Below are 27878 nucleotides of genomic sequence, written 5' to 3'. Positions count from 1 at the left end.
TGAGTGTTGAAACTGAGTGAGCTCTCAGTTTTGGATGTCTAAACATTCAGTGAAATTTCAAATTGAACAGAAGGTATGAGAGTGAGGAAGAGAGGTCAATGGTACAGTAAATAGAGAACCAATTTAAACACAAAAACAATAACAAAAACTAATAAACGTTCAGGCCTCATATACCATCAGGGAAGTTTTCGCTCTTCTGTTCTTAACAGCCTGCTGACCAATTTTTGGTTTGGAAAATAAGACAAAGATTGCATATGGCATATGTAAATCAGGAAAAGCTACATTTCAGATTGTGGAGTCTAAGTAAAAATTTTAGTGACTTTGTCTGTTGTTCCTTAAAGGGCTATTACATTTCTGACCCTGTCTCTAAAGATCTTAAAATTCAGTGAAATTGACAGAATGCTATAGACTATGAATCACCTACAAACAAAAATTAGAGATAAATGGAATAATAAATAATTAGAGATCAATGGAAATAAACAGAAAAAAAATAATTCTGACAACATAGATGGAAAGCTTGATGGATTTGGAGAATTTCACTTGGCAGTTGAAGAATGAGGATTTTCATGTAGGAAAAATGGCAGAAAATTCATTTCATATGCAAGACTGAGAGAACATTGCATATGAAAACTGCCCAGTGAGATGCCTGGCATGGGGGAGCCGACAAATAAATATATATTTTTTCCCTATGACCAAAGATAAAGAGGGTCCATGACTGGCATGTTTGAGGAAGGGTTATGAAGAGCACGGCTGGAGTGAACAGTGTGCAAAGGAATGATGGAAAGAGACAAGATGTCTCAATAGAAAAAGTTGTGCTTTGAATGCAAAAATGGTTTCCTTTACCTACTAGTTGTGTGATCTTACTCTCTAGGCCTGAGTTTCCTTATCTGTGAAAAGAGGATTATTTCAGTTTCCTAGGGATGTGGAAACAAAGTGCCACAGATTGGGTAGTTTAAAACAACATAAATTTATTGTATCACAATTGTAGGGGCTAGAAGTCTGAAGTCTGCTCCCTCTGAAGGGCCATGCTCCCTCTGAAGCTTGGAGGGTACTCTTGCCCTGCCTCTTCCTAGTTTCTGGTGGTTTTCCCGCAATCTTTGTCATTTTTTGGCTTGGAGTAGTATAACTTCAACCTCTGCCTTTGTGGTGACATGGTGTTCTTCCTGTGTATCTCCATCTTCACATAACCATCTTCTTATAAGGATACTAGTCACACTGGGTTAGAGGCCCACCCTGCTCCAGGATGGCTTCATCTTAACTAATTACATCTTCAATGACTCTACATCCAAATAAGTTCATGTTCTGAGGTAATGAGGGTGAGAATTTCAACATATCATTTTTTAGATGAACACAGTTCAATGCATATCAGAGATAATAGTAATACCTATTTATTTCATTGTGTTGCTGAGAGATTTAAATATAATAATGTGTGATAATGTATACATGTTATAAAGTAAGACTTTTCATGCAATTTTATCTACCCTTACCCCCTACCCAGGAGCGTTTCATGTGCCTATCACCCCTCAGAGAGTAGAGAAACTCCCACAAATGTTATATTTGAACTATGGATATGAAATATAAGTATTCTTTAACTGAATTTTTGGTACACTGTCAACGATACCTAAGATTGTATTTTTCAGTAAGAAAGTATAATTTTCTGATTGCTTGTAAAGATGCAATTAATGGGAGTTAAAATTAATTGAGTGCATGTTATGTGCTGAGTACTGTTATGAGTGATTTATGAGAATTAATTGTCACCAAAATAGGCTCATGATCATTTTTATTTTACAGATGAGGAAATGGAGGTACAGAGATATTAACTGCCTTACACAAGGTCATAAAAATAGTAAGAGTTAGAGCCAGGATCCAAAATCAGATAGTATGGTATTAGACCACAGGTTCTGAGATTCTTCCCTGTATGTCTTTCAATCAGAGCATGCACATAAATAAGTAAAGAGCCATTTCTACTTTTCCACCTTTAGTTGCCCTAGTTCTTGAAATCATAAATGTTTCACCATGCCTCAAAGGACAAATTATATACTAAAATAAACTGACAGTGTCCAAACCCAAATGGCTGCTTTTTCAGTCCTTAATCCATGTACCTTAGAAAGATGAAGAGAAAAATTGTTTTCCATTGTCCTGATTTCCTTGTATAAAAGGTGTGGTCATGAAATTTAACCTAATTAACGTAGCTTGACTTTGTTACACATGCATAAAAATTAAATTAAAAACAAGGGATTAGTTAAGTTTCAAAACATATGACTTCTAAAATCCCATATCAAACTGCTAGCAATTTTCAGAGGCCTATATTAAATGGATGTCAGCATCATGGAGTAAAGGTTACTTATATCTGGCTATTAGCTCAAGCCCTTCTGTGCCTGCCTTTTCTGTCCTATTCCTTGCCCTTTGGCCATTTGGTTCCCATTATGCCCTCTCCAGTGCACAGGAAGGGAAGATGTCAGTATGTGAAAGTTGTATTTGTCATGTAATTGCTCTAGGCAGGCATTTTATGCTCTAAGGTGACAAAAGCTTTATTTAGAGGATGTTTGTGAACATTCTGGGAATGCTATCCATCTGAATTATCTCTGTTGCTATTATTATATGTAATAAAATATTAATTGAATAGTTGGAGAAAAATAACATAGTAAGCAAGCAAGATGAAGATTCGTTCTTTACCTGTGAGTATTAGTGGTTATAATGGATGGAATTGTGACCAGCCAGGCATGCAGGTTATTTTGCTGTGCAGTAGGTTACCCAGGCCACTCTCTGAATGTAAAAACAAACGTATCAGTGAGGTAGCATTCATCTCTTCCCTGAGTAACAGACCTGCACTTCCAACAGTCTGTGGGACATTTGCATATGAGGGTGGCACAGGCAAGTTCTAGCTCATTAGTCTTCAAACCAAACATCACCTTTTTCTAACCAACACTTGGGACTCAATTTATGCATTCTGGGGATCTCCTGTGCCTGTCTTCTCTTCTATACCTGTAATTTGCTATCTAATCCTTGAAAACTCTTTACCTATTTTATTTTGGTCACTTTTTATGACCCATGCTGTATTTTTAGCAATGTTCATTCTCCTTTGTCTTTCTAATTCCACATTTATTTCCATTTATTTTTCTTCTTACACTACTTTCCTGAGCTCTATTCTACAGCATTTTTATCTCTGCTCTGTGTTCTTGCTTTGTGTAGGTGCTTGCTTCAGTAAATTAAAATGATTGCCATATTTTCCACTGGATTTAATTTCTGATGCATGTCCTTTGGCTGTTTTTCATCGTGCTTACAGATTCCTATGTTGTAATAATATGGTTCTGCACGTACACTGATCTTCACTACTAGAAATATCTTCCTTTTGTTACTATGTAAGATTAATTAGAAGGCACAAGTAGGCAAGAAATACTCTCTATATATAATGTACGATATTCTGTAATGTATTCAAAATATAAATCTTACAAGAATCTACTGAATTTACAGAAAATATTGGTAATTATTTTGAAATGGAATTTATCCTATCATTTATAACTATCACTATGAGATTTAATGAAAATTTAAAGTGTCCTCTTTACATGACAATGTTTGGAAATGTATGATACACCTGACACATCTTGCTCTAGTTGTAAAGGAATGAATAGAAAAAAAAATTTAAAAACTATTACTTTACTCTGGCCACAACACTGAGCTAGTTTTCAGATTTATTACTATAAAGCACCCAAATGTTGTATCAATGCTATATGAATGCAGATGTGTAAACACCACAATAAGTTTTTTCACTGCTCTAGTCATAAGCCATGGTCCATACTAGATACTCAAAAATTCTTAATTCCCCTTTCATGTTATCTTATAACTAGAATGTTGCTTTTGTGATAATTCACTACTATTTCACTGAGTAAGTTTGAGAAAAATGATGATTTACCAACATTTCATTTAATCTCCATGGCACACTAACAAGATAGATACTATCAATATTTCCCCATTAAAGATGAGGAAATTGCAGCTTTGAGAGGATAAGCAACTTGCCTAATACAACAAAGCTAGTAAGTGAAGAGGCTGGGATTCAAACCCCAGCAGTTGGATTTCAGAACCTGAGTTAGTTTGTTTTTAAAGAGACAGGGTTTCACTCTGTTTCACTTGTTACCCAGGCTGGAATTCAGTAGCACAATCATAGCTCACTGCAGGCTTGAAATCCTGGGCTCAAACAGTCCTCCCTTCTCAGCCTTCCTCCTGAGTATCTAGGACTATGGGCATGCACCACCATCCAGGCTAATTTTTTATTTTTATTTTTTGTAGACATGGGGTCTCACTAAGTTGCCCAGGCTGGTCTCAGTTTCCTGGCCTCAAGTGATTCTCCTGCTTCGGCCTCCCAACTTGCTGGGATTATAGGTGTGGCCACTGCACCCAGACAGAGCCTGAGCTTTTAACCACTATACTCTGCTACTGATGGAAATAATCTATTATAATATGTAAGACACTATGAGACATCATGTATTAGGCCATTGTTGCATTGCTATTAAGAAATATCTGAGACTGGGTAATTTATAAGAAAAGACGTTTATTTGGTTCATGGTTCTGCAGGCTGTACAGAAAGCATCTGCTTCTGGGGAGGCCTCTAGAAGCTTACAATCATAGCAGAAGGTGAAACAGGAGTTTGCACATTACATGGTGAAAGCAGGAGCAAGAGACCGAGGGGTGAGGTAGTACACACTTTTAAACAAACAGATCTCATGAGAACTCACTCACTATCATGAGAACAGGATCAAGAGGGATGGTGGTAAACCATTCATGAGAAATCTACTCCCATGATCCAATTATCTCCCACTAGGCCCTACCTCCAACAGTGGGAATTACATTTCACTATGAGATTTGGGCAAGGACACATATCCAAACTATATCACAACACACCTGTATTAATACTATTTTTAAATACAAACAACTTTACAGGATAGGTAATATTTTCCTGACGAGAAGGCCAATGCACAGAGAAGTGAAGTGCCTGGCCCAAGATCGATAGACCTAGGACGTGTGGGCAGAGATCTGGGAATAGGAAATCCAAAGCCCATATGTTCTTATTATACTGTGCTGCCTCTTGTTACGTCATGCTATCTCACGTGCATGCAGAGTGTGAGTTGGGGTCAAAAGCATGGTAAGCATTAAAGGAGGGGTGCTAGGCAGTAAGGAAGAGTTGTGCTTAATTAAATTCATTCCTGGAAATGTGTAGCTTTACTGCCTGAATAAATGGATAAATATCTTGACACAGTATTAAACTAAATCATATGAAATGTCTGTGAGATTTCATAAGAAGGTAAGGCCTTAAAATTTTACATTTCTTGAAGCTATCTTGATTTCCTAAAATATTTATTGAGAACTTAAGTATAGCAGACTTTATTTCCAAACTCTGTTAATGCTTTAGAAGTGAGAAAGAAGAAATCCTCTTAGGACTCATCCACATTTTTTTTTTTGGTCGTTTTTCATTCATATAAACCCCTTAAACATACTTGGCAGTGTATTTAAAAGTTTTGCACTCAGCTTTCGGCAGTAACAGCTGGAGCGGCATCAACAGCAGATGGACTAGGCAGCATAAAAGACTCAGAAAGCTCTCAGAACTGAAGGTGACCCAACACATGAGGGCATTCGGGTGTCAGGTGAGAGGACAGATGAAAAGTAGGAAGAATAGCAGGGCTCTGGGAAGGGAAACATTCCCATCTACCTTTCCATTAGATAATAGAGTCTTAACTATCAACACTTCTTTTGCACCTAACACTATTTCTCAATCCCTTTTCCTAAACCAAGTAAAGGATTTGTTTTGGGGAACAGCAAATTTGTGCCCCAAATGGATGAATGTACTTCCAGAACTGATCTTAAATTGCATGGTTCTATTAGACAAGAATCATTGATTCATCATACCGGTTTAAGCAAAAAGAGAATTTATTGATTCATGTAACTGGAGATGTCAGGTAGGAAGGCTGGTTTTAGGTATTGTTTGGTTCAGAGCCTTAAATACTGTTGTCAGGACTCTGTCACTCTATCTCTCAATAAGCAAAAAGGGCTAGTGGTAGCCCTAGACTCAACTTATCTGCATTTCCACTCTAGGAAAGCAACAGTCTTTTCTTATTGCTGTGGCAGATAAGTCCATGGATAGACCCTGACTGGCCAAGCTTGGGTCACATGCCCTACTCTGAACCAATCACTATGGCTGGGAAGGGAACACTGTAGTTTGTCCAACTCTGGGCCATATATTCACCTCTGTGGTTATAGGAAAATAAGATCTACCCCATTTTTGGTAAGGATTCTCCATGAACTAATTGGAAGAGATTCCCTATAGTGACAGGAATAAGGGAAAGGGCTATACAGGATTGTAAGAGAATAGATGCTCATACTAATTGCTATGCATTTATTTCTGTATATATTTCATGTTCTTAAGAGTCTGAAGCTAAAAAATGTAGCCAATTCTTTTTTTCCCTTTCTGTATACACTTAAAATGGTAATAATGGGTAATATTAGTTATTTGCCTACTATCTGTCACTCTACTACGCATTTTATATACGTTTTCTCATTTAGATCCTACAATTGCTTTACTATTATTACCATTTTACAAATCAAAGGACTGAAATTCATAGAGATTAACTTGCTCAAGCCTACACACAAACAACATTTGCTGCAGAATAACTTATCCTACTTAGTAGTAGTTGCCATATCATTTTAATTTCTGCACAGGCTCGTCATACACAGGACACTTTCATTAATACTTTGAGTGTGAATCAATAGTAATATCAACAATAATGTGTAGCAGAGGTACCATTACATAAATAATAGTATATTAATTACTAGCATTTATTTGACACTACGTACCAGACATTAATGTCCATTTTCCCCCATAGCAGCCACAGTGATTTTTCAAAAGTATAAATCAGATCATGCCATCCCTTTAAAAATCCTCATGGACTTACTTTGCACTTAAAATGAAACCTGAACTTTTCACCATGTGCTAAAGGCCTTGATTCTCTCACTGACCTCAACTCACACCCCTCCTTCCTTGCTCATTTTGCAACACATCAAGTTCTTTTTTGGTTCAGCACATTTGCACTTGCTGTTTCATCCCCTGGAAGGTTTTTGCCTTTTTTTGTTGTTGCTATTGTTGTTCTTTGCAGGACTGATTCTCTCTTCTATTCGGATCTTAGCAGAAATATCACCTGAAAGACAGGCTTTCCAGGACCACCTATTAAAGCAACCGCCCACTCTCTCTCTCATGAGACAGAGTTTGTCTCTCTCATGTCCTCTTATTTATTTTTTTCATGCTGTTATGATCTGTCATTGTCTATCTTGTTTTGTTCATGTATCCTCAGCACTTTGAGCACACAGCCAAGCACATATTAGGCACTCAGCACTTTCTGAGGAGAGAAGAACACTACTGGAATCCTATTTTATACCAATAAGAAAATGAGGGGTTAGATGGGTTTTGGTAAATTGTCCAAATGTTGCATACCTGGTGAGTGGCAGAGCACTTATTCAAAGCCTTATTTCTTGACTCCAGAACCTATCCACTTACCACCCTTATTGGTTAGGGGCTTTCCTAGAGCCTAGTTAGAACTGGAACTAAGCAACGCAATAGTGTCCCAACACCATGTTTCTTCACGGGAAAATATTGATTGCTTATCCACTTGGAGTCATTCATAAAGTACAAGCAGGGTTGTCTGTATATCAGTCTCCTCCTTGAAATTTTCTTCACTTTACATCAATTTTATTACCACTTTTCAATTCCTGAAAATATTTCAAACTCTACATAGCATTGCTAAATATGAAACAAATTAATGGATGAAATCTTCTTTATTAAGAATCTTCAGTTATTCCATTGTCTGAATAGGAACAGATGAGAGGTAGTTTTATGATTCCTCTTCCTTCCCCCATTTCCCTCTACCCTTATAAAAAATGGCATGTCTCACTCCTCAGGATAACTGTGGTATTTATTTCCCAGCCTAGATGAGGAGACCAGCTGGTCATTCCTAAATTTTTTCTTTCTTCTTTTTTTTTTTTTTTTTTTTTTGAGATGGAGTCTCACTCTGTTGCCCAGGCTGGAGTGCAGTGGCACGATCTTGGCTCACTGCAAGCTCCGCCTCCCAGGTTCACGCCATTTTCCTGCCTCAGCCTCCCGAGGACTACAGGTGCCCACCATTATGCCCAGCTAATTTTTTGTATTTTTAGTAGAGACGGGGTTTCACCATGTTAGCCGGGATGGTCTCGATCTCCTGACCTCGTGATCCGCCCGCCTTGGCCTGCCAAAGTGCTGGGATTAACAGGCGTGAGCCACCATGCTAGGCCAATTTCTTTCTTTTAAGTAAGAATCAAAGCCCTTTTTCATAATCTTCCCTTCCAAAATCTATAAAAATATCTCTATTTATGAGCAGAATGATTTAGCGAGTAGGGTATGATTCAGAAGCCCAGAGTTCTAATTTGGGTTAACAATATTAACTATTTGTGATACAGCCCTATGGGGAAGTGGAGGGGAAAGAGGGACATTGTGTTCCCATCCTGCTTGTCACTTGATATTCATATTCTTTTTTAATGCACTCCAAGACCCAATTAAGTCACTACTATTACTATTTCAAAGATAAAAAATTTGGTTCATAAAAGTTATGTTAATTTCCTAAAAAGACAAAGATGGTAGTAGGTAACAGAAAAGGGACTCAAATCAAGGTGTGGCTGATTTTCAAGCCCTCACATGGACCACTATGATATCACACTAGAAGATGGTCCCAGGTAGTGGAATAATATTTTTCATTGCCAACTATTCACAACAAATTCACCAAACCTGGTTTACCCATAAATTCATATCAAATAAAGCCAAAGGAACCCTTATATGTTACATGGTGAAGGGTGGAGACACACAGGTAGAAATTGAGAAGGGATTCCACCAGCAAGTGGACAATCATGCAGAGAAAACAAAGGAATGCTGGCTCCCTGAAGGAACTCAAAGGTCTTTGTGAAAAAAATGAATATGTTCTAACTAAACAGAGCTCATCCTTGGCAAGATGCGAGGTATTGAAAATTTGCTTTGTCTGTTTTCTTTTCTCCTGCTCGCACTCTCCCAGCCTTCCAGGCACCCGCCCTGAGTGCAGTAATGGAGCATCTTACTCTAAAATCACGGTCTGCAGATTCCTTTCCTAAAAAGCATGGGGGAGAGGGGAGGAGGTGAAACTCAGGGGTAGGAACAGATCAAATGGGTACCACAAGGGTGCTGGTCTTTGTGAATTCGAGCCCAGAGAAAGCACTTAACAGTTGGAAAGTGAGTACAAACCCTGAATGTCAGTTACCTGCTTCGTCATGGCCTAGTTTTTTAATGTGGTCTGAGTTGAAGGTTGCCAGGTATAGCAGGTAAAAATGCAGGATGCTCAGGTGAATTTGAATTTCAGATACATATCAAATATTTTTTAATATGTCCCATGCAACATTTGTAACACACTTTTCCAAAAAATTTGCTGCATTGTTTATCTGAAATTTAAATTTAACTGGGTGTCTTGCATTTTGTCGGGCAGCTCAACCCCAGTCTCATTTTTTTCAAAACATTAAAACATGTAGACAATGCCATTTTCTTATTCGTGGATGAGCATTAAGAAAATCCTCCCCAGACTGAGCAATTCCAGTCACCCCTTCGTTCACTGACAGGATGGGACCTCGAAGCTGCTACTACCAGAGGCTGCCTCTGGGGATGTGACATTTGGGACTTGCCACGCCAAAAGAATGTGGGAGATGGGGTGAGAGAAAAAGGAACTAAAGAGATGGATTAGAGGTCTCTCTGTCTGCCTCTGCCTTCCAGATAAGTTGCAGTAAGAGTTTTCATTTATATCTCTTCTATAGTCTAAGACTGGTGAAGGACATCTGAAAGTCACAATGTGTTTTTAATACATTTTCCTTACCCTCGAATCTCAGTTGTGCTGCTGTGTTCCCTGCAGCCCTCTTAACAGCTGATCATGGGCTTTCTCTCTCCTCTAACTACATAAAGAATGCCTGCATGGTTAATTTTATAACTGAGGGAAGGGGAATTGTGCTGTGGTAAAAATGCAACTCATCGCTCCCAAATAGTTCAACCCTCTCCCTCCACTCATCTTGCATATAAATTTGCTAAAAATTGTAGCACTACAATAAGGATTGCATACATGCTAGACAGCTTCAGAAATCGTAGCCATAAAAAAATAAGCAGTAATCAATAATAGTTTTTTTTAAAAAAAATGCTTAACACAGTTGCAGATATTACATTTTCTCATAAAAATAATTTTGGAGAAGGCGACCTACAACTTACCCTTTTTGTGGCTTATGCCAAAAGTCTGCTTACTACTAACTTGAGGAGTCAGGTGAAACTCTGAAAGGTGCTAGGGTGGGGTGGGGGGATTATCTGAATATTCAGGCAGGCTTTACAATTTATATATAACTTCTTTTTAGTAGTTCAGCTGTATCTCAGGAGGAAGGTCGGGGTCAGGTATATTTTGAGAAAGCTCCTCATGGAATTTCCTTTTCTTTTCCCCCTAACCCATCATCAAGAAGAGGCTTGGTTATGTTTTGTTACTGACAGAGATGTGCACCCTTTTTAGCCTTCTTGAGGACTGATGCCTCCAGGACCTAATAGGGTGGCTTTTTAAAGATGGGCTTTCTGTGGCAGGTTCATTAAACTGACTTGCATGGCAAATGTCATTGCCTGGAGTCTATTAGGTCCTCTCCAATAGTGGCCAGATGGTTAGTGAGAGCAACTAAACCTGTCTCTTGGGTCAAGAACTACTTCTCCCTCTCTTTCACCTCTTTTGAGAAAAAAGAAAGAGGGGAACAACTGGCAAGCTATCTCCCAGAGCTAAAACTAAGTTAAGTGATTGCAACTGTCACCCACAACAAGGCTGTCATGCTATTATTGCAGGTAGAAAATTAATACATGGATGTTATTTGTTTGGGTTCAAAGGAGACAAGCTGTTCTAACATGGAGACCTTAAGTAGAACTCCATGCTGGACAGATGAAAGCTGTGAAGCAAAACAAAATGAAAGGCTTCCCAATCCTTATAGGTCAACAGTGATGGATCAGTGGAACACACTGAGAAAAAGTAGAAACCAATGAATTGTTATCAATCAGATAACAACCTTATCCTTAAATCTGTGCAACTGCTTTAAAAATTTATATATGGGAGTTTAAAAAAAATGATCTTGTGGAGGTAGTGAAAAGAATGGTGGCTCCCAAAGGCTTGGAAGAGTAGTGAGGAGGGGAGGATAAAGAGGGGATGGGTAATGGGTACAAAAATACAGTAAAGATAGAAGAAATAAGATCTAGCGTTTGGTAGCTGTACTAGTCCATTCTCACACTGCTATAAAGATATTACCTGAGACTGGGTAATTTATAAAGGAAAGAGGTTTAATTGACTCACAGTTCTGCATGGTTTGGGAGGCCTCAGGACACGTAAAATCATGACAGAAGGCAAAGGGGAAGCAAGGCCTTCTTCACCAAGAGAGAGGAGAGTGAAGTAAAGGGGAAGAGCCCTTATAAAACCATCAGATATTGTGAGAACTCACTCACTATCACGCGACAGCATAGGGGAAACTGCCTCCATGATCCAATCATCTCCCTCCCTCAACACGTGGGGATTACAAGTCCCTCCTTTGACATGTGAGAATTACAATTCGAGATGAGATTTGAGTGGGGACACAGAGCCAAACCATATTAGTAGCACAATAGGGAGATTCTAGTTAACAGTAATTTATTACATATTTTAAAATAACTAGAAGGGTAAATCTGGAATATTGCCAACACAAATAAATGATAAGTGTTTGAGGTGATGGATATCCCAGTTACCTAGATTTGATCATTACACTTTGTATGCTTGTATCAAAGTATCACATGTACCCCATAAATATGTAAAACTATTATGTAGCTATGAAAATAAAAACAGATTAGAAAGTGAGTTAGAATAAAATATAGGTTAACTTTAAATTTTTTTATTTTAAAATTTTAGATTTACATAAAATTGCAAAGACAGTACAGAGAGTTCCTAAATACCCTGCACCCAGTTTTCCCTATTTTAACATCTTACCTCAGTGAGGTATATTTGTCACAATTAATGAACCACTATTAACAAATAATTATCAAATAAAATTCATACTATATTCAAAAATAAATAAAAACTTAGAAATGATGACTAACTGACCTAACTGCATTTTTATTTGGTTACCTGAATAAAAAAATTTAAATATGTGTGAAGCTATTTGTTTTTCCTTGGAATTCATTAAATTCTACACTTGCCGTCATGTTAGGAATTTAGCTGTAGATCTTTCTGTTCCTGCTTTGTTATTAATGTTTTATTTTTATTAGTTAGCAGACTTTTAGAAAAGCAGTTATTTTAAATTTCAGGGGATTTATAGATTGAATCTGCACTTTACTACTTGTGAGACAGGTTAGCCATGTACTTATTTATATTTAGGGAGAAGATGGACTTAAATATATTTTTGATCAAAATCTCTATCAGTTTTTAAAGAATTTGTTTGTCTGTGGATCTGATCTGTCTGTATATCTGATTTTACAACTTTTGGGAAAGAGGATTGAATTACAGGTATGCTCAAAGACCTTGACATTCCTCAACTTCTTTATCACCATTAAAATATTTTAGATCAAGCCACAATAATAAAAAAGAATGAAGATTATTACAAATTCTGAAAAGTCTTAGTACCATAACTTCCCAGTGCAAATTGATCTATACTTGCCTTTTCTCTCTCTTCTCTCTTTGCCTTCCAACCTTGGATCCAGGGAGAAAGGACTTCAAGTACCTGGGCCACATTAAAAGTCACCCATATTATTGTTTATCTTTCTTTTCTCTCTCTGGTTCTAGATATGAGTAGCATTTTAATTTATTTCAACCAGGACTCTAGGGGTGTGTTTTAAAGTAGCCCTTCAAAATTAATTGAGCCCCAAAACAAAGATCAACAAATCCATCTCATGGATGAATAAATAGAGAACAATAATATTAGATCAATGGAAAAGATTTTTAACACACACACACGAACAACACTATGAAATGCAGAGTAGGATCTATCTCTTTAATCAGATTTAATATATTACAAAGAAATAAATTTTAGAAATAGCTATTTTCTATTAAATAGAATAAGAGAATCAAAAGAGAGTATTGAGATATGAAAATTGAAGTAGATCAAATAAAATTAACATTGAAAACAGTAAAAGGTAACAGGCTGTACAGATTATTTGAAGCTAAACAGAAGGTAACTATGAGAAGTATTCAGAACATGAAGGAAGTAAGCAAAGGGCAGACAATGTGAGCAGAAATGATTAGAGTAGAAGATAAAATATGGAGAGTTATTATATGAGTAACTAGAGTCTGAATAATAATGGACAGAGATAAACCCAAGAATTTGTGATAGAGAAGGAGAAAAAAAACACAAGCAAACAACTTCTCAGAGCTGAAAAAAATAATTGGATATGTATAGGTCTCTTTGATCTTCATAAAAACCAAAGCAGAAATTGACATCAAAACACACTGCTAATGAAAATTAATCAAAGTTATCAAGTTTGATACCAGTTTATCAAGACAGCTAGTTCTGCAAGGCATAGAAAGAAAAAGATTTTTCCTCTGTAACCTCAATTTTTATTCCTCAGAGGTAAGCACTTGAAACTCTTAGAAGTTTCTGATGGTTTTGACTTCTTTATAAATTTCTAAATGTGTAAGTTCAAAATATACTTGTACTGCTATATCTTGACTCTTTTTCAATGTTTAACATTATCTATTGATATCTCATCATAAAAGATGAGGACTGAGCTATCTAGATTCCATACAATTCATATCTGTTTACCCTCTTTCATTCTTATGCTTCTAATAAAATTGTTATAATTTTGAGATAGTTAAATACACAATGTTATCGTATTCCCATTGTTTGTATTAGATCATTTTACTACCCTCTCTGAAAGCAGTTAGGGGCTACTCTTTATTCCCAGTGTTCTTAAATTACATAATGACATAAATAAGGATTTTTCCCTCATTTGTTGTTTTGAGCCATCCATGGCTCTGTTCAATTTGAAAATTCTTATCCTTAGAGTCTATGAAATTTTTAGTTTTCTGTCTTCTCTTTTAGGAATTACTATTGCTTGACTATTTGGTGTCATGGACTGATTCTCAATATCTCTTAAGTTTTTCACTTCTATATTTCCTTTGTCTTTAGTTTTCTAAAATATTTTGTCAATGTTACACTTCAATTCCTTTTTATATTTATTTTTGTTATCTTTTTTTAATTTTCAAGAGCTATCTTTTTTGTTGTTTTTTGAATATTCCCTTTTATGGTCTCCTGTTCTTGTTTCATGCATATGTAGCACCATCTCTTATCTCGTTAAAGTGTTCGGACTTTTTTGGGGCACTTTTCTTGAATTTCTCAGTGGCTGTGCACTAATATTTACAAATAAGGCACTAAAAAGCTCACTAGAAGACCTGGGTACCATTCAATATACAAAATTTCATTTCACAGCCTGTTTTCTTCATGGCACATCTTCTCTAAACTGTTTTGTGTCTGCAAGTCTGGAATATCTTTGCTTTGTTCTCCTCAAAAAGTAAACACTCAGATTTGTACAGGATGAGAGGTGGGCAAATGCCATTTACCTGACTTAGGAAAGAAATGGGGAGTTTGAGTTTTTAAATACATTTTCAATCAATATACCTGTTTCCAGCCCCAGAGGTCTTCTTTTCAAGGAAACTGGTACCTCCATTCTTCAACTTTTCTGATGGGTTCTGTGATTTGAATTGTTTGTTCTCCTTTGTTCTATCTCTCTGTTCTGATCTAGCCATCAGCTTCCTCTGTTCTGCTAAATTAAATACCTGAAATCTCTCTGCTTGACTGGCCCCCCAATTTTGTTCTCCTATTCCCATTATGTGGGGATATGAACATATCTCAACCACTTATATTTCTTTTTTATTGTCATTTTGTAGGATATTGGAGAAAATGGTGGTAAACAAACAAACAAAGAATTCAGTTCATCTTATTTAATGGGAAGTTTAAATGTTTTAACTAAAACAAACAAAAGCTTACACTTACTGGTCTAAAGAGAACAAGAAAAAAATACAAATTACTTTTATTGGATTATAAAATCAGGCTAGCTTTGAATTTCTCTTCTGCAATTACAGATTGCTTTGGTTCTTTGTTGTTTTAAGGCCTCTCTAATCTAATTATATTTTCTTCTAAATTTATTGATTAAATGGGATCTTGAGTCAAGCCCTTCGTTTCCAGTTAGGCCACATTTATGGGTTACTAAGGAAGGCTGTCTGCCACAAAATAACTTCACAGAATCTGACATTTTGTCATTTAATAGTAGAATACACACTTTGTGTCGAGAAGGCTTTTAAAATTTCATAAATCCTTACTAAAATGGAAATGTCTATGGATGGGATAACCTCCTAAGCTATTAGCAATTATTAGGGTCAAGAAAGTCCAGAGCCAGAGGGAAGTGCAGCTGATCACTATACTAACCTTTTTGCATTCTTGAATTTTTTGTTTTTGGCTTTTATGCTAATTCAGTCATTTAGTTTATGGTGATGTTTGACTTTGGCTAATGCCTTTTGCCTTAGTTATTCCAAAATTTGGCTTCTGATATGGGTTTTTCTTTTTGTGGCTTGTTTTTTTTTTTTTTTTTTCCTGATTTCTTGCTCTCCACTTGGTCTTTACACTACTTGGGCATTTTGGAAGTTTTGACTGATTGGAAAGCTATTTTAGAGACTTAATTGTTCATGTTTTCCCTCTTAACCAGCAGTTATGGGTGAGTGAGTTGCCTTACTAGATTATGGATGATCGCTTCGCCTTTTCTATCTATATTCTATTGCCGAATCAATCTTTTCACTGATGAGTCACATTAATTAGCTAATACTGAGTGTCTGTAGAACAGTACTCTGATTTCTTTTTAGCCTACTCATTCCCAAATAAATATCATAGTAAAAGTCGGTATTACAGAAATGGAATAAGGAAAGGCCAGCTTAAAATAACCAATGTAACAAAGTGTTAATTTAAAATATTATGCATATAATTTTGCATACATTCTCAGTCCATTATAAAATTGTTTCAAATTATAAAATTATGTGTCTAAGAGGGCATAGTCCCTGAGATTAGTTGCTTTAGTTTATGAGGATACAGAGATTCTCCAAAGCCTATTTTTATATTATATATTCATAGGTATCAACAGTTATTTCTTTTATTCTTGGCAGTCATTTTTATGTTCTCTTTGGAAAAAAGGCAAACTGCTGTGTTCCAGTCATTTAATTGAAAATCCCACTGCAATGATCTTTACATCTAATACAACTTGCCAGTGGCTTTCATACAGAAATAGTTTTCAAGTAAAACATGCTTTTCTACCATTCCAAAAAGAGAAGGAATGTGGTTAAAAAATGAAGGCATTAGTTTACCAACAGCTACCACCATGCTCTCAGAATTTTAAAATTGTGCAATCATCCATATAAAATAAATTTATTTTTATAATAATTTTTCCCTTCATTCCAACCAACTATTGTTAGCTGTGACTTATTTACCTTCTTGAAACTTTAACAGTCTTTATCAAGGCTGCCTTATGTCTACTGTCATTTTTCTGTGCAGGAGTATACAACTTAACTAGAATTCATTTTATCTCTTTTTCAATACAATGCATAGTTTTATAAACTTGTTAAGTGGGGGATTCTGCTTTTTTCCTTTAACATGGAGATGTGTCATATGTGTCATTTCCTGAGGATGGTCCAGTGGTCTAGTGCGTGTGTGTGTGTGTGTGTGTGTGCATGTGTGTTTGTGTGTTTTAATAAATTGGAAGCAAGAACATTTGATGTTCATGAAGTTACACTTATTTATTACGGAAAACAAAAAGACAGCTTTACATCATAACATGTCTTTAATAATCAGGTTTATATGCCTCAAAGGCTAAGAAAAACTATGATGAAATGTCATATCATGTAAATCTATCAATTAGGATGTTAACATTTTCTGTTTGTAATATAAATGAGAGCCACTAGATTACCAATCTGCATGTTAAATAAATGCAGCATCAAGCATAAGTAGGTAATAATGCATCCTACAATAAAATTCCAATCATATATAGCAAATGAACAGGTCTGTTAATTTTCTATGCCCAAATTCCTCATTCTTCTCCTCTTCAAATTTACCTTTTGTTTTTTTTCAAATCTAAGAAAGGTCAAATGTAAAAGTGAGAGCTAGTCTCAACTGTAACCTCCAAGATACTAGTAATCATGGCTCTTCTCTCTCTCTCTCTCTCTTTTTTTTTTTTTTTTTTGGTATAGCACCAATCAGAATCACCTATCTATTCAATTTACCAACTATATCAGAAGCTTACTTTGAGAACTCGGCCACCTTTCCTACATTTTTGAGGTTCTAAGCAAGGATCATTAGGAGCTCATGAAGTGTTCTTTATCTGGAAGATATACAATGTGTGTTGCTTAACTAATTAAAAATGGAATTATGATAGAAATAGCACATCAATTTATTGATCTGTTCATGAACATTGATCTAAAATATTTCTCAGAAGAGCCTATTGATTTAATTACTTCAGTTATGCCTTAATACAGTTAAAAGAGTTAACTTTTTAGTGTAATGTAATTTTCACATTAATATGTATAATTAATAACTTTTGTTCCACCTTATGAAGCACATTAATGTAACCTGTGAGACTCTCATCTATATAAAATTTTATATGTATATATGCACATTGAAGATATATTTATTTATACAGGTGAACATCAATATATCATTAGCCAAGAGAATATCTAAATTTCATAGTGGCAAATAACCTAAATTCTCAGAGCTGCAGTCTTCTTCTCTCTAACATGGAACTAATATCTCCCTTGCCTCCTGCAAGAATTTGGTAACTATTAACAGAGATACTATATATAAGAACAGTCTAAGAAATGGTAAATGAAAAGGTCCCATTAAACAGTCCCATTAGATGTATAAAAATAAGTGATTTTTATACAAGCAGTGTGCTTGGCTCAATACACATTTTAACACGGAGATATTAATGTAATAAAAGACAAGTAGACATATCTATATTTCCTGTGACCTGGTAGATCACATTTCTTTTGAGTTGAAAGGTCTTGCCTAAAAATTTCAAATGTTAGTTACTGTGATTTAAGTCAAAGATAAATTTAAGATATACCTAATTAAATTCTATATTGAATAGCACTATTGTAAGATTTTAGTATATATGTGTGCATATGTGTATAAAATATTACATAATATCTATAATATTTATATTCTTAATGTAAGTGAAATAAACCTAATGTAAATTTTAAAAGTATAACAATATGTTTTGAAATAAACAAATAAAAAATAAATGTTGTTTTTTTCAATGACATAATCTTTGTAATTAACTACCTTGTAGGATATAGCCTAGGAAGAGATGTATTCTATATTCCTGTAAAAAAATCTTGCCAAACATTAAAGAAATACTCAATATTTTTATTTGTAAAAATTTTGAACTGAATAGTAAGCAATATCCAGAAAACTTTTCAATAGATTCACTAAATTGCTGAGTAAGTGAGAAAATAGACTGAGAAGTTTAATAGTTATAAATTACTTTTTTGATATTAAGCTTGGTTGCATTTCAAAATCTTTTCTTCATTTTGTGCCCAAAGTTCAATTAACTAATACTTTCTACATCTTGACAGCTAGGTCATTGAAGAGGTTAATCAAGTGTTTGGATTTTATTTGTTATCAAGGTATAACTACTCATCTTCATATTGTGAGTACTTAGTTATTTCTGATGGTTTTAAATCTGAGAGGTTGATTCAGTTCTTAAATAGGAATGCATAGAGGAAGCTCTGTTTCAACATCTCCTGGTCCAGCACTGTCAGGCGGGCTCTGCTTTTGGTGTTCTACCAGCAGATGAAATCTTGTTCTTGAATTCCAGCCTCTTTTGGGCTAATTTCTGTTCTTCTGCTCTCTTCTCTCACCACCAGCCTCTAGAACTCAGATGCCCTGGGCTTATAAGTTTGCTTTGGGTCACTGACTAAACTGATGAGTCTCTTTGATGTGGCCGCATCTGCCCATCTGGACCCAGTCAGGCTGCCTGCCAATTTAGCCCTTTGTTAACTCATCCCCTTACTTGGATCTCCAGTAATTACTGCCATGTCCTGCTCAAATTGGCATCCCAGATGCTGGCCTTTTCTTCAACCTTGCTTTGTGATACTGCTATCCTTCATGTCTTTTCCTTTGTGACTCATCTCTAGGTGTCATACTCTTCTTGGTATTACAAAGTATTTTAGTTAGATATCATGAAATCTTTGCTTGAATACCTTCAGTGATCAGAAGCACAATATCTACCAAGGAACTCAATTCCATTTTCATTATAACACTTATTGTTAGAAAATCCTGTCTTATTTTTAGTCAAATTCAGCTTCTCTACAGTTTTTTTCCCTAGTTTGACCTCACCAACAATGAGCATAGTACTTGTACATTGTAGACAGTAAATGGTAGTAAATGGTAGTGGCTATTATTTTTAACTCAAAGTTTTCAATTGGAAGATTTTTCTCATTAAAAATAACATAGTTGAAATAAAAAATTATGTCTCTAACTTTAATGGAACTCACTTATGCTCTGAAGTTAGAGATATTTCTGAATTTCTTCAAAGTTTATTTGGCACTTTTTTATTCAGAAAGTAATTATTTCAGATAAACATATTACTTTCTATTTTTTCTGTTAAAATGTTCATTTTTCTCTCTACTTCTAATCTTTATTAAAATAAAACCTACATTCTTATAATCCTAATTTCCTGCATGTTTTTCAATATTTGTTGTCCTGAAGTTTATTGAGGCTTAACATTCAATATCACAATCTAATTTTTCTGTATTTTTCACACATACTTAAATTGATTCATCATTTTAAATATTAAATATTTAAATATTTCAACAGGTAGATACATTTAAATACAGTTTCTTCCTTTTTTCTCTCTGAGTTTTAAGAAATAAGATTTTGTGTTTTCCAAATCCTTAGTTTATTCCTAATTTCATTCTCTAAGGTTGTTATTCTGGGTTTTCCTGAACAAAATAGCTCAATTTTATTAGGATTTAATGTTTCTATTGTGATAAATTACTAGGAAAGTTAGATTTATGTTACTGTTAATACCATGCTGTATTTAGTTAATTTATACTTTATGTTAATTGATTTAGGTTCTGAGTTGACTTCCTGTATAATATCTATCTCCTAAAAAGCACCTATCCTATATTTTAAATGTGTTTTATGATTCTAGGCTAATATTAAGAAGCTCATTCATGGAAGAAAACCTTGTTAATTTATTTATTTATATCTTAGAATGAATCTTAAAGTTATTTTTAAAATTAAAATTTTTAATGTAGCAGAAGTAAATTAGTGGCTTAGATGAGTCTTGCATGCTGCAAAACTAAAACGAGATTGGACAGTTTGCTTACTATGGAAATAAATGAAGAAGATGATTTAGGAATAAATATTTGACTTCTTATTCATTCAGAATGCATCAATTATTTTAATTGATTAGTCATGTCTGAATTTAAATATGCTGAAACAATTCTTAATATTTAGTCTATATTAATTTTATGTATTTTTGTTTTGAGAAACAATCCTTGTCCCCTAATTTAAATTTGACATAATTTGAAAAGTCTAGACTGAGTGTTCCAAGGCATAGGTACCTTGACACATTATCATTAGGAGTCTTCACAGCCACACTTTAAGCTAATGAGGCAATTACTGTCCTCATTCTAATTATAAAGAAGCTGAGGCTTAGAAAATATAACTTGCTAAAAGTTAGTTAGTAAATGGTAGTCTCAATATTTACATAAGCTATGTGTAACTTCCTCTTTGTCATTTCTCTTGATTTCACCCTTTCACACTGTAGTCACTCACTCTCATGTTTATACCTTTGACATTGGCAAAAACTGCAGTTCTCCATAATCTCCATTTCAATCACTTACCCTCTGACCAATTGCCTCTAGAGCTATACTCTAAGAATCCTTTGATCCCACTAGAACCATTAATCTATTGGACCTACTTTTTTTGTTCTATCTTTCATTGTCTTTATGTGTTTTCTTGCTTTCTAAGCCAGCTTAAAATTTATGGGTAATCATAATCATGCACGCATAAACCCTCAACTCCTTTGCCCTCTCCAATGTATCACATTCATTTGGCAAAATTCCAATCCAGCTTAAATTCAGTTCTTTGTTACTCTGAGCCTACGTCTTAACAGCTGAATGTTACTAGAGAAAGTGAAACAAACTATTCTGCCTTTAAATACTAAATGATCCCTGGTAACTGTACTCTATGTTCCTAGTCCATTCCCTTTCTTAATTTGCTAGATGATTTTTAATCCTTTCTTCTCTTTCCTCAACTTTTCTACATCTTTGATTTCAGCAGATGACCTTGAATCATGCTTCATCTAAAAATTGAAGCCTTCATAGGAGAACTTCTAAAAATTCCTACCACTATATCTGTTCATGCAAATATTCCACACAGTAACTAAATAGTAATAAAATAGTAATATAATAATATTCAGTTACTATGAGTGAATCCTAAGGCCAAATCCTTTATGTCTACCCTGGGTTCCATCTGCTATTATCTACTAAAGAACATTTCCAGATAGTCTCTCCTCTGTCTCCAGCATCATCATCTTCTTTGTTGATTATTGCATCACCCTATACCCGTTGTAATTTCTCCCATCTTAATCCCATTTTCCCTCCAGCAACTGACTCATTCCCATCCTCTTGACATCGAAACTACTTGAAAGAGTCCTCTATTCCTGCCATCCTCAGTTTCTTTCTTTTTGCTCTTTCTTGCACACCTTCAGATTAGGTTTTTACTCTATTCAATGAAACTGCTCTTGAGAAGGTCACCAGTGATCACCATGCTGTTAAATCCAGTGGCCATTCCTTAGCATTTGACCACACTGATCACTCTTCCCTTAAAACCATTTGATACTTGGCATCTAAACATACTCACCTAGTTCTCCTTCTACCTTGCTAGCTACTCTAGCTACTCTTGTTCTCGGTTTCTTTGTTGGTTCCTTTTCATCTCAACCATCTCTAAGGATCAGAGTGCCATAGGGCAGAGTTTAGAACTTGGATTTCTCTTGTTGTTCTCTCATTATCTATGAACTAACACTCTCTGGGGATGAGTTAAATACCATCTTAATACTAATAACTTTCCTCTGAATTCCATACCAACATATCTAACTGCCTACTTCATATGTTCAGTAGGAGGTTTAATGATAAGCACTTCAAAATTAATATGTTAAAACCTGAGCACTACCTGACTTCCCACCAATATTCTTTCCTCTGTTCTCATTTCAGTAATGACAATTCTGTTTTCTGGTTGCTAGAGTCAAAAAGCTTAGCACGGTTTTTGGCTCCTTCCTTTCTGTCACATTCAGAATCCTGTTGTCTGTACCTTCAAAACATATTCTGAGTTCAACCACTTCTCACCACTCCTAGTGCCAGTTCAACCATCTTCTCATCTAGATTATTGCCACAGTCTCCTAATCGGCCTCTGTGTCTCTGTCCACACCCATTCTTAATTAGTATACAGACAGATCCTAAAATATGTCAGATTATGTCACTCCTTTTCTTAGTCAGAATGAAAGCTTGCAAAGTTCCAAGAAATGTAGCATCCATTACCTGCCTGAGATCCTTTTCTCCTCTTTTTATCTTTGTTCCCTCTTTCCACCCACTTTGGCTTTGTCACTCTCCCTGAAACACTGTAAAGAAGCTGCTTGCTCACTCAGGGTATCAGCATTTGGTGTTCCTCCTGCCCAACAATCTCTTCCACAGAAGTCCTCAGGAATAACTCCCTCACCTTCTTCAGGTCTTTTGTTAAATATACCTTCTCATGTGATTCAACTTTTCCTTTATCTTATACTTCATATCCTTGTTCCCTGCTTTACTTATGTTTCTTTGTTATGATATTATCTAATTCATCTTTTTAAGTGTCCACTTCTATTACTTGAATGTAAGCTTCATGGCTATAGGAAGTGTTGTCTTGTGCATGTGTGTGTGTGTATGTGTGTGTGTTTATGTCTATGTGTGGTTTTATATATATGCATATTGTTATTGATTTTAGTAGTGTTATTATTGCTGAATCTAGGATAGTTCCTGGCACATAGTAGGTGCTCAATAAATATTTGCTCAATAAATGAATACATAGATGAGGCAGAATTCAAACTTGGCATCAGCTCATTCCAAAAATGTATGTAATTTCCATTGTTTAAATTTGAATCAGCAATCAAGTAATTAAATACATTGAGCTCTGTGCTAGGCCCTAAAAGGCAAGCAGTTATGGAGTTTATGCTCTTGTTGTAGAGCACATAAAGCCAAGAGTGAACAACAGAACTTGGCATACAATTACTTGCCAATGGTGTGGTACTGATTACAAGTCCTACAAAAGAGAAATGAACAAGACACAAAGAAACTCATTATAGTTTCAGAAAAGGTAGCACGATTAAGTTGATTTAAGGTGACATTTAGCCAGATTATGAGAACAAAGAATCAGATGGGAAGGACACTGCAGTCTTGAGTGACTAGAATGAATTAGAGGTGAAATTGGGGAATAAGTTTTAATATGGCAGGTGGTATTCCAAGAAAAACACATGAGAGTTGAGATTTTAGGGCGTGGTAATTTGAAAGCTAGAGTGTAACCTTAGGCCCGAATGCTAACTATATAATCAGGCTTCCTGATTATTTATATTTGTGGAACCAAAATACTTTGATTTTATAGAAGTTACACATACACCACAATTCTCTTCTAAAAGGAGTACATTACTCATAAACCTTAATTCCATACCCTTGTATTGTTAGCGGGCTTTGCTTACGCCTTGTTTTTCACCTAAACACAAATGCTATACTATTTCCTTTTTTTCTTTCTTTTCATTTGTTTTATTTATTTATTTATTTTCAAGACAGGGTCTTGCTCTGTCATCCAGGCTAGAGTGCAGTGGCGTGATCTCGGCTCACTGCAGCCTTTACTTCCTGGGCTTAAGCCATCCTCCCATCTCAGCCTCTGGAGTAGCTGGGACTATAAGCATGCACCACCATGCCGGACTTTTTATTTTTTGTATTGACGGGGGTTCACCATGTTGCCCATGAGCTCAAGCCATCCACCCACCTCGGCCACCCAAAGTCTGGGATTACAGATATGAGCCACCATGCCTGGCCAGCGGTATTTTTATGTATCAATGCTTCTAATATGGTGCCTTCTGTATAGTCCCTGGATTTATTTTGGACTTCTTTCTTCTCATTACCAAAATACAACATTAAAGTTTACATTGTAAAGAAAAGAAAGGCTAATGATAAAACCTTCTCTGAGATGTTTAGAAAAGTGTCAGTAGCTCTGAAAGTATTAATCTTTTAAATGTTATGGAAAAATAGATTTTCCTGGATTTACTTAAGGGGCCACTTTATTTTCTAGCAAAACGATAACTTTTCTTTCTTAATGTTACTTTCTTAGTTTCCCATATGAATAAACTACAGATAACTACTCACTACCTATGGTCTACTTGTTTTCTTTTGCACCTCACAGGAAGATGGAGAAACCAGAACACTGATGGCAATCATCCTACACAAAAGGGGACTGATTGAGGGTAATTACAGTAATGACACAGTATTTATCAAATTTTGGAAATGTATGACTAAAATGAGAATTTATATCCATGAGGCTAGTTACAGTGGAAACTAGATGCTCTGAGAGGCCAGCTCACATGGTTTCCAAATCTCACTAACTGCTGCCAACTTATATAATCAATATCAAAGTTGTATCATGTTTCAGATTCAAGGTTTGAAAAAGAAAAATGACAGATTGAAGATTTGATCAAATAGAAAGTACCCAAATAAATAAACACATGGTAGAGAGAGCAAAACATTTGGACAGTCTTGCCAAATGTACTGCATTTGATTTTAGGATAATGGATAAGTTGGATGGAATCAATGAAAATATTGAATTGCATCCTGGGGAATGAACAGTACAGAAAAGAGAGGGTTTGGCTGAAGATAAAATTGAAATGGAAGCACCTGATATAAATATATTTTAAAATGATACAGGTTATCAAGAAGTCACTACGTCAAAACTGAAAGCTTGGGATAATGATTAGAAATGGGTCTCTCTGCAGGCATTTGTGACTGGCAATCTTTCCTGCATGAACTCTCAGCCAAAATGCCACTTGTCATTTGCTGAAGCTCCTACCTTACTTCCTCTATTTTACTTTGAATTATCTAAGCCACTGAAAGAAGCATAAATGTATTGTATTTTTAGGCAACAGCTATAAAGTTTATGCCAATAACAACAATAATATAGTAATAAAGTTGAATATAAATGCATAATAAGCATCGATGTTCTAGCACCATGTTGATTTTCTTCATTTTTCTATTTTTCTAAAAAGAATGAAGATCTCTGATCTTCTCAAATTATTACAACCATTAAGTGTTGCTTTCCCTGGCTTAGTGCTTACCCCTTTCCAAATCAGTTCTCTCCAGAGTGATCTTTTACTCTCAGTTTGTTAACACCCATCACTAGCTTTCCATTACCCTTAGAATGAAGTGCAAACTATTTTAAGTCTTTTCTCACTTGGCCTAAGATGATCTCTTACCCCTCATCTCCTGCACCCAAACGTCCACATCACACATTCACACTCTAGTTCCTTTCGTAATAAACTTCCTTCAGTTTCTTGAATGTTTCATACTCTCCTACAAGTTTTTCAGGGGGAGCCAAGGCATGACTTCTCCATGAATCCTTAGAAGACCACTCTGAACTACTATGTGCGTGTATGGTGATAACATCGTATTCTTCCTCTATCAGTTCACTTGTCACGTCATTTAATAATCTCTTGTTTAATTAATTTCTTTCCTGCCTTCTAGACTGGAGTGCTTAACAATTTCTGGTATCCTTAACCTATTAAACATTCTGGTGAAGTCTGTAGTTCTTTTCTCAGAACTACGCTTTTAAATGTATGAAATAAATTACACAGACAACAAAAGTAACCAGTTATGCAGCGCACCAGCATGGCACATGTATACACATGTAACTGAAATTCAATTTCAAAGTATTAAAACTAAATTTGTGATATGATAAGATACCTGATTCTTTATTAATGCATTAAATAACAAAACCTAATGGTGTGTCAATAACAGTTTCAAAATCATTATGAGTAAAAATGGTCTTCTCAGATGTGTGCAACACTGAATGTGGTATGTAATTATCTGTGATTTTTAATGTTTCACAAAGTCACAGGTACTGCTAATACCTCGGTGGTTTATGGCCTATATTCATAATTTAAATGCTAAATTTGAGTTTCAGGTTAAGAAAACTAAAGATGTAATTAAGATGTAATTTTTTTTCCTATCTAGAAGTTTACAATTCTCCATCTCCAAGATTAAAACCCCTGGATTAGAATGTCAGCTCTGTAAGGACAGGTCTCAGATCTGTCTTATCATTGAATCCCTATTTATTACTACATAGCCATATAACCATAACCACAACCATAACTCTCTCTCTCTATATATATATATGTATATATCTTATGAGAGAGATATATATAGATAGATATAGATAGATATGTATATATCTCAGAGAGACAGATATGTGTGTGTGTGTATATGTATATATATATATATATATATATATATATATATATATATACATACATATACACACACACAGACACACACACACACACACACCCCGGCACACACATACACATATATGTGTGTATATACACCAGTTCCTGTTCTATTTGCTGGAGATAGAGCTGTGAATAACAAGCCAAAAACCCTGTATCACAGGGTTTTCACTCCATTGGAAAAGGAAAGCAGTCTCTAGCATTTCATAGACTGTTTATAAACATGAATGTTCCTCTTTTTGCTTTGTCTTCTTCTAAGATCAATAAGTGCCCACAAACACCGAATAAGATAGTTTTTAATCGGCCATTGGAATTTGGAATTAATTGGTGGACAAAGAGACCATTTAAGAAATTGAGTGATTGTCATTACCCTTAAAATAGACATTATCATAACTGCCGACTACATTTATGGCTCCTAGATATGCAGAATTATAATTCTCACATCTCTTTGTGTTTGCTCATGCAATTCTTCCTTCTGTGAGTGCCTACTGCTCCTGATTAAATACTAACTCTTCAAGATTAAAATATCTCTTACTCTGTGAAGAGTTCTCTCCATTCTTCCCCACACTGCTTCACCATTGTGGTTAGGAATCCTCCAAACATCCTTTGGTGTTCAAATAGCATGTTGGGCATATCTCTATTTTTGGACAGTTGGCAAGAGTGACATTCTCTGCCTGTGTATAGCATGTTGGGCATATCTCTATTTTTGGACAGTTGGCAAGAGTGACATTCTCTGCCTGTGTATTGATATCCCCACTTTCCTTCCCCTAAGCTCTATGTCTACCAGACATTCCATGACCCTGTGTCTGGTAGAGCTAAAGTTCTCCAGAAAAGCAGAGACTTTGTTGCACCCGCTGAATCACTGCTTCCAAATTCCTGTGGGAGGAACAGCTTCATGGGAGGCTTTCAAATCTGTGAACATCCATTGCCTTATTAAGAATGTTTAAAGATCCACTTTAAGAGAGGTAATAGAGTCCTGCATTGTGGAGCTCTCAGAGCCCTTTAAAAAGTGACATTATATGCATTTTTAATAGTCCCTGCTGTGGGATTCTATGGGTCTCTTCTCTGATGGAGCAGAAGACAGACCTAGCAGGAACCCTAGATGTGATAATCTTAGTGCTTGACCTGTATTGTCCCTTTGCCTCTATTTACCCCTGGGGAAGTGGTAGAATAGGGTCTGTGTAGTATCCCTGTCGCTGTCCACAGTTTTGAAACCCAAGGGAAATGGTGCAGACTTGTG

The 27878-nt window shown here is 35.6% G+C and overlaps 1 protein-coding gene across 26 annotated transcripts in view, besides 1 other annotated feature; it reads right to left on the bottom strand.

Annotated features, from left to right (window-relative positions):
- Window positions 1-27878, bottom strand: part of GRIA4 (glutamate ionotropic receptor AMPA type subunit 4) — a 372097-nt gene that overhangs the window by 160959 nt on the left and 183260 nt on the right. The window lies entirely within an intron of this gene.
- Window positions 20721-21224: an enhancer, noted in NCBI's record as "NANOG hESC enhancer chr11:105670634-105671137 (GRCh37/hg19 assembly coordinates)". NCBI's record gives its function as "activates a minimal SCP1, AML or CMV promoter by ChIP-STARR-seq in primed H9 embryonic stem cells {active_cell/tissue: H9 hESC(primed)}" and the evidence as "EXISTENCE:reporter gene assay evidence [ECO:0000049][PMID:30033119]".

The sequence above is a fragment of the Homo sapiens genome, chromosome 11 (genome assembly GCF_000001405.40).
Source record: "Homo sapiens chromosome 11, GRCh38.p14 Primary Assembly".
Lineage (NCBI taxonomy): Eukaryota > Metazoa > Chordata > Mammalia > Primates > Hominidae > Homo > Homo sapiens.
This window is presented reverse-complemented; position numbering and strand designations above follow the sequence as displayed.